General features: G+C 56.2%; 1 protein-coding gene across 1 annotated transcript in view; it reads left to right on the top strand.

Annotated features, from left to right (window-relative positions):
• Window positions 1-7,955, top strand: part of MYBPC2 (myosin binding protein C2) — a 33,430-nt gene extending 25,475 nt beyond the window's left edge. Inside the window, exons 21-28 of the mRNA NM_004533.4 lie at window positions 221-388; window positions 552-640; window positions 745-940; window positions 1,674-1,813; window positions 3,176-3,335; window positions 3,534-3,670; window positions 5,980-6,166; window positions 7,829-7,955. Coding sequence (NP_004524.3) covers window positions 221-388; window positions 552-640; window positions 745-940; window positions 1,674-1,813; window positions 3,176-3,335; window positions 3,534-3,670; window positions 5,980-6,166; window positions 7,829-7,839 — 1,088 coding nt within the window. The 3' untranslated portion in view covers window positions 7,840-7,955. The remainder of the gene's footprint in view (window positions 1-220; window positions 389-551; window positions 641-744; window positions 941-1,673; window positions 1,814-3,175; window positions 3,336-3,533; window positions 3,671-5,979; window positions 6,167-7,828) is intronic.

Here is an 8,128-nt window from a genome sequence, read left to right on the forward strand (position 1 = left end):
CTCCGTTTAAAAAAAAAAAAAATTAATGAGCGAACAGAATGGCCACCCTTAGAACCTGGCCATGATGAATGCTTAACTAACTCCAGCTGCTGCTGCTGCTTCTACTGGGAACTTACTCAGTGCTCACTCGCTCGCTGCGTGGGGCCCAAGTCCCCGGGAGAAACGGGAGCGGAGGATGGGAGGAGGGCACGAGATCCGCCAGCAGGGCCTCTCTCTCCAGCCGAGGAATGGGTCCCTGCCAACACCGAGCCCGTGGAGCGCTGTGGCTTCACCGTCAAGAATCTCCCGACCGGAGCCAGAATCCTCTTCCGAGTAGTTGGGGTCAACATCGCGGGGCGCAGCGAGCCGGCCACCCTGGCCCAGCCGGTCACCATCAGGGAGATTGCGGGTGCGTGGCCCCTGACCCTGCGCTCCGAAAGACCAAGCTGGCGTCGTCCCGCCTGCCCTTTCCGTGTCGTCGACAGGACCTCCCCAGAGAGCCTTATCACCATTGGCCCCTGGAATGCGCCCCGGCCCCCCGCTGAGCCCCCTCCCTGTGTTTGCGCCCTCAGAGCCACCCAAGATCCGGCTTCCCCGCCATCTCCGCCAGACCTACATCCGCAAAGTGGGCGAGCAGCTCAACCTTGTCGTCCCCTTCCAGGTCAGGGGAGCGGGGTCACGGGCCGGGGGTCCGCTCTCGCCGCAAGCCCCCTTTTTGCGGGTGGAGCCCCGCTGACCCCACCCCGCCCCGCCCTCTCCCCGCAGGGAAAGCCCCGGCCCCAGGTGGTGTGGACCAAGGGCGGGGCCCCGCTGGACACCTCCCGCGTGCACGTGCGGACCAGCGACTTCGACACCGTGTTCTTCGTGCGCCAGGCGGCCCGCTCCGACTCCGGGGAGTACGAGCTGAGCGTGCAGATCGAGAACATGAAGGACACCGCCACCATCCGCATCCGCGTTGTGGGTGCGCGCGCTGGGGAGGGCCCCTGGAGGCCGGGAGGGGCAGGGATGGGCAGCGATGGGGGAGGAGGTAAGAGATGAGGGGTGGGGAAGGAGGTGGGAGATGAAGGGTGGGAGAGGAGGTGAGATGAGGGATGGGAGAGGAGGTGAGAGATGGGGGGTGGGAGAGGAGGTGAGAGATGAGGGGTGGGAGAGGAGGTGAGATGGGGGTGGGAGAGGAGGTGAGAGATGGGGGGGTGGGAGAGGAGGTGAGAGATGGTGGGAGAGGAGGTGAGAGATGGTGGGAGAGGAGGTGAGAGATGGGGGGTAGGAGAGGAGGTGAGACGAGGGGTGGGAGAGGAGGTGAGAGATGAGGGATGGGAGAGGAGGTGAGGAGATGAGGAGGGGAGGGGGAGAGGAGGTGAAAAGATGAGGTGGGGGAGACTAGATAAGGAGCAAGGCAAGTACCAGGGCTAGGAGTGGAGGAGAGATGAAGATGGGGGAACCCTTGAGAGGGAGATTGGGTGAAGAGAGGAAGTGGGGAGACATGGGGGTGAGGAGAGGAGGTGAGGAGGGATGAGGGTGGCCCAGGATAAGAGGAAGTGGAGAGACTGGGATGGGGGAGGCCATAGGCAGGAATGGGAATGGGGCATAAGAGAGGTTAGAATCAGGAGGGAGGGGGTGTGGAGAGGGGAGGGGAGGGAAGCGGCTGGACATCCCAAAACCTGGACTGACTTGTCACACTTCCCCATTTCCAGAAAAGGCTGGGCCCCCCATAAACGTGATGGTGAAGGAGGTGTGGGGCACGAACGCGCTGGTGGAGTGGCAGGCCCCCAAAGATGATGGGAACAGTGAGATCATGGGGTATTTCGTCCAGAAAGCAGACAAAAAAACCATGGTGAGAGAGCAGAGGGGGAGATGGGGAAGAGCCGGTGAGGTGGGCAGAGCAGGTGCAGATGTCCCCCGTTCACAGCTGGAAGGGCAGGGAGGGGCCCAGAGGCTAGAGGACGGGCTGGGGCCAGGAGGGAAGCCTTTTAGCTGAGACTTGGCACGTGATGGGTTTTCATTTTCTTTTTTCACTGAGGTAAACGTCACATAACGGAATTAGTCATTCATCGTTTTAAAGCGAACAATTCAGCAGCACTTAGGACATCTGCAGGGTTGTGCAGCCACCGCCTCTACCCAGTCCATTTTCATCCCCCAGAGGAAGCCCTGTACCCAATAGCGCTACCCCCTGGTCTCCCCTGGCAGCCACCGATTTGCTTTCTGTCTCCCTGGATTTACCTACTCTGGACATTTCATACACATGGAATCCTAGCTATGTGACCCTTGTGTCTGACTTTGTTAGCTCAGCACAACGTCTTTGAAGTTCATCCATGCTGCAGGGTGCCGGGTGTGTCCATGCAGAAATCCTGTTTTTAGAATTCTTTTTTTTGAGACAGGGTCTTACTCTGTCACCCAGGCTGGAGTGCAGTGGTGCAATCTTGGCTCACTGCCTTCTCTGCCTCTGAGCTCAGGTGATTCCCCCCCATCTCAGCCTCCCATGTAGCTGGGAATACAGGCACGTGCCACCACATCCCGCTAATTTTTGTAGAGACAGGGTCTCAGTATGTTGTCCAGGCTGGTCTCGAACTCCTGGACCCAAGTCATCCTCCCACCTTGGCCTCCCAAAGTGTTGGGATTACAGGCATGAGCCACTGCACCTGGCCTTTATTTCTTTTAAATTTTTTTTTTTTTTTTGAGACAGGGTCTTACTCTGTCACCCAAGCTGGAATGCAGTGGCATGATCATGGCTCACTGCAGCCTCCAACCCGCAGGTTCAGGCAATCCTCCTCCCTCAGCCTCCCAAGTAGCTGGGACTACAGGTGCTGGCCACCAGACCTGGCTAATTTTTTGATTTTTTTAACAGACAAGGGTCTCGCCGGGTTGCCCACTCTGGTCTCAAACTCCCAGGCTCAAGCGAGCCTCCCACCTCGGCCTCCCAAAGAGCTGGGATTACAGGCATGAGCCACGGTGCCTGACCCCTTCTTAGCGTTGAATGATGTTCCTTTGTCTGGGCCGACTGTTTTGTTTGTCCATCCCTGCGCTGATGGGCGCTGGGTTGGTTCCACCTGTTGGCCACTGTGAGTAGTGCGCCATGAGTGACATTTTTTTAAACACTGGATGTGCTTTTCTCACCCCTTCTTTCGTCTGTGTCTTGTGTGTAATCGTGTGATCCTGTGGCCCCGACCCGCCTGGTCCCTCCCTGTCCCCACACTAGGAGTGGTTCAACGTCTATGAACGTAACAGGCACACTAGCTGTACTGTGTCCGACCTTATCGTGGGCAATGAATACTATTTCCGAGTTTACACCGAGAACATCTGTGGGCTCAGTGACTCACCTGGTGTCTCCAAGAACACGGCCCGCATCCTCAAGACAGGTACAGCCATCCTGCCCCACAGCCCAGGCCCACCCCGTCCACCCTCTCGCCCAGGTCCCACCTGGACTCCTGCCCTCCCCTCCCCACTGGGGTTGACGGCACCTAGTCATGGGAGAGAGGTGATTGCGGTTTGTTCCCTGGTTGGTGTCAGGGGAGAATCTAGATCAGTCGCCTTACGGGTGCATCCTCTCTCCCCAGGAATCACCTTCAAACCGTTCGAGTATAAGGAGCATGACTTCCGGATGGCTCCCAAGTTCCTGACACCTCTCATAGACCGCGTGGTCGTGGCTGGGTACTCGGCAGCCCTCAACTGTGCTGTCAGAGGCCACCCGAAGGTGCCAGGGCAGGGACCCAGATCTGCGTGTGTGTTGCCTTGTGGGGAATCTTCCATACAATGAAGCCCACTCCCCATCACGCCAGTTCTTCTTCCCCGAGTTCTCTGTCTCAAGGGATTTAGTCACTTAAAAAATTTTTTTAATTGATTTTTGATTTTTTTTTTTTTTGAGACAGGGTCTTGCTGTATCACCCAGGCTGGAGTGCAGTGGCACGATCACAGCTCACTGCAACTTTGACCTCCTGGGTTCAAGTGATCCTCCTACCTCATCCTCCCGAGTAGCTGGGACCACAGGCATGAACCACTGTGGCCAGCTAATTTTATAATTTGTAGAGATGGGGTCTTGCTATGTTGTCCAGGCTGGTCTTGAACTCCTAGGCTCAAGTGATTCTCCCGCCTCGGCCTCCCAAAGTGCTGGGATTACAGGTGTGAGCCACCACGCCCAGACTGGACTTGCTCACTTTTCACCCACTTCCTGTTAGCTCCTCTGACCAGAGCCCAAGTCTCAGACAATCAATCACATCTTGCCTTTGGCTTCCTGCCTTTTTCCTTCTTTCTTTCTTTTTTTTTCTTTCTTTCCTGAGACCAGGCTGGAGTGCAGTGGTGCGATCTTGGCTCACTGCAACCGCCTCCCAAGTTCAAGCGATTCTCCTGTCTCAGCCTCCTGAGTAGCTAGGATTACAGGCGTGCACCACCATGCCCAGCTAAATTTTGTATTTTTAGTAGAGACGGCGTTTTGCTGACCTCAGGTGATCCGCCTGCCTCAGCCTCCCAAAGTGCTGGGATTACAGGCATGAGCCACCGCTCCTGGCCTCTTGCCTTTTTCTTTGTCCCCTGACTGCCAGGTAACAGCTTGTCTCGGCAGCTTGAGGAGAGGACCATTAAGTCTCTCTTGCTCTGTCCAAGGACAAATGCCAGTCCCATGGAAAAAGAAACGTTGGGAGCAGGGGCAGCCTAGACCAGCACGGCTCCCCAGGGTCTTCCTGTCCAGCCATTTTCCAACTGCTCTTTGTGAACAGGGACACTTGCAACCTAGAGCTCATTTAGACCAGGGGTTGGCAAACCATCACCCATGGGTCAAATCCACCCACCACCTGTTTCTCTCAATAAAGTTTTATTGGAACACGGGCCAAGCATATTTGTTTATGTTTTGTTTACAGCTACTGCAGACAAAATGTAAATAAATGTGCGTGGCTCGCGTTCCAGGCCCAGAGACTACAGGGCCCAAAAAGCCTGAATTATTTACCATCTGGTCCTTTATAGGAACAGTTTGCCAGCTTCTGGTCTGGGCTGTAGGTTATTCGCTTCAGCCTCCTTAAGGCATACCATGTCTCCATCTCTGTATACTGTATTCACTAACTCCACTCATTCATGTCACTCATTCCACTCATTTATCCACCTACCAATCCATCCATTTACTCAGTTCATTCCTTCACTCCATTTGCTTATTTACAGCACTGTTTCGTGCTCTCATTCATTTATTCACTCCATTTATTCTTACAACAAACATTTTCAGAGGCTTTCAATGACCTGGGTGATTCGAACAAGAAATTTCCTGTATGTTGGGGGAGACTGACATTTGCCCAGAGTCACATAAATAATATAAAATTATGAAGGGCTGGGCCAGACACGGTGGCTCACACCTGTAATCCCAGCACTTTGGGAGGCCGAGGCGGGCAGATCACCTGAGGTCAGGAGTTTGAGACCAGCCTGGCCAACATGGTGAAACCCCATCTCTACTAAAAATACAAAAACTAGCCAGGCATGGTGGCAGGCGCCTCTAATCCCAACCACTTGGGAAGCTGAGGCAGGATAATTGCTTAAACCCGGGAGGTGGAGGTTACAGTGAGCCAAGATCACGCCACTGCACTCCAGCCTGGGAGACAAAGCGAGATTCTGTCTCAAAAAAAAAAAAAAAAGGGAAGGGCACTATGGAAGAGGGAACAGCCAGTGCCAGCGTCCTGAGGTGGGTGCCTGTCTGGTCTGTTTGAAGGACAGTGAGGTAGCCTGTTTGGCTGGAGCAGAGAAGTAATGGGGGTCAAAGAGTGTGGGACCCTGTGGGCCACTACAAACAGTGAGCTCTTTGTCCTGAGAGCAATGGGAAGACCCCACCGTTACCCTGTGAAGTGGGATTATCAACCTGCTTTTACATAAGAGGAGACTGAGGGTCAGGGAGAAGTGACTCGTCCAAGAACATCTGGCAAGAGGGTGGCAGAGCCTAGAACCCAGATCGGCTTCCTGAGCCCCATTTTGTCATCATTGCCCAGGGTCTCTCTCTAAGTTGGCCTCCTCTCCCTTGACTCTCAACAGCCGAAGGTGGTCTGGATGAAGAACAAGATGGAAATCCGTGAAGATCCCAAGTTCCTGATAACCAATTACCAAGGAGTCCTGACGCTGAACATCCGTCGCCCCTCGCCCTTCGACGCTGGGACTTACACCTGCCGGGCCGTCAACGAGCTGGGCGAGGCGCTGGCTGAGTGCAAGCTGGAGGTCCGAGGTGAGGGCGTGGCCATCCCCAACACTGGCTGACCCTTGCTCGGGCCCTGTGCCAGCCTGGCCGGTGGCCCCGGGCTGAGCACCGCTGAGATCTGGAGACGAGTGAGACCAGCCCTCTGGGAGGAGGACTGGGAAGCTGCTGTCCTGAAGGCAGCACAGGGCATCCTAGGAGTTGGGGTTGGGGAGCCCCTGACCCAGCTTGGGAAGGAGTCAGATTTTTCCAAAGGAGTTGAAGGACAAGGAAGAGGAAGGCTGAGTGAGAAGGGCTTAGGAAACGTCCCCAAGGCCTCCAGTGTACCTGGGCCCCCGTAGGCAGATGGGTTGACAGAGTGAGAGCAAATATGGATAACACGGATGACCAGGGGTGGCGGGAGCTCCCAAGAGTGCCTCCCTCCATAGCCTGTCCCCATGCTCCCACCCACCTGCCCCTGCCTCTCCCTGCCCCGTCCCTCATCTCGGTCCCACAGCTCCAGCCCCAGCGAAAGCTACATCCTCTTCCTCCCATATTCCATTTCCAGCCGCCTCCGTCTCCAGTCTCTCCCTCCTGCCAGCCACTTTCACCCTTGGACTCTGGCCCCAGAGAGCTCTCTCTATCCAGAGCTGCTCTGCCCCAGCCCTGATCCCAGCCCGCTGGGGACTCCCCACCGCCCCAGCGCCCCTCCGCCTGGTGTTCACGGTGGTGTGTCCACCCCGGTTCTTCCCACATGATGTCCCAGCCACACCGGGCTGTTGGCAGTTACACTGGCCAGGCTTTCCTGCCACAGGGACTTGGCACATGCTCTTCCCTCTTCCTGGAACACAATTCCCCCGCTCCTTTACCCTGGGCTCCGGCCCATCAGATGTCTGCCAGTCAAGGCTCAGCGAGGAGGCCACTAACCGTGTCCCTCAGAGCAGGATGACATCAATGTGGACTTCCAGAGTCCCTCCCGGATGGTGACTTCTGACCTCTGACTTCCCTGGCTCTGAGGACAGCCCAGCAGACAGGGTGGCTGGGGACCCTTAACAAAGGCTCAGAGAGGACACTTTCTAGCCAAGCACGGTGGCTCTCGCCTGTAATCCCAGCACATTGGGAGGCCAAGGCAGGCGAGTTGCTTGAGCCCAGGAGTTCAAGACCAGCCTGGGCAACATGGCGAAACCCTGTCTCTACTAAAAATACAAAAAAATTTAGCCGGGCCTGGTGGCACATGCCTGTTGTCCCAGCTACCTGGGGGGCTGGGGCAGGAGGATCACTTGAACCAGGGAGGCCGAGGCTGCAGTGAGCTGAGATGGCACCACTGCACTCCAGCCTGGTGCAACAGAGTGAGACTCTGTCTCAAAAACCAAACAAAAACACCCCAGATCACTGCCCTTCCAAGCCCACCCAATTTCTGATACTCTGCTGTCTCCCTGATTAACTATTAAATCAGCTCAGAAAAATCCCAGCCTCAGGATTCCAGTGACCGCGTACAGCCAGCAGCTCAGAATGTCCCCATCTGGGATCCAAAATACCAGTAATCAGGAGCACTGTGACTCTGGGTTGTCCAGCCACAGTGGCCTAGGATGGGGCGGGATGGTGACCGTCATCCTGTCCCCCTGCTGGTCATGTGGATGCAGCTCCTCCTCCTGGGGCTTCAGGAGGAGGCGTGCCCGGGCCTGGCTCACCCGCTTTCTCGTTTTCCTGCAGTGCCGCAGTGAGACCTGTCCCCTACCTGCCAAGACAATTGGTGGTGGAGTCCTGACCCCAATCCCCAACCTCCCAGGACTGTGTTCTTTCTGGAGTTTTCGCTGAGAACAAAACAGTGTTGTCTGGACCCTGGAGTGTCTGTCCTTCTTGACTCCGTAGCTCCGTCTTCCTCCTGCAGGGGATTGGTCACCCCGGGGTTGGCGACGGGAGCAGCTGCGTCGACACAGGCCGCGGTGAGGTGGCCTCTTGGAATAGCTACTTTAGCGAGGCAGCCACGTTGTCACAGCAACCACAGAGCAT

The sequence above is a fragment of the Homo sapiens genome, chromosome 19 (assembly GCF_000001405.40).
Source record: "Homo sapiens chromosome 19, GRCh38.p14 Primary Assembly".
NCBI classification, from domain to species: Eukaryota; Metazoa; Chordata; class Mammalia; order Primates; family Hominidae; genus Homo; species Homo sapiens.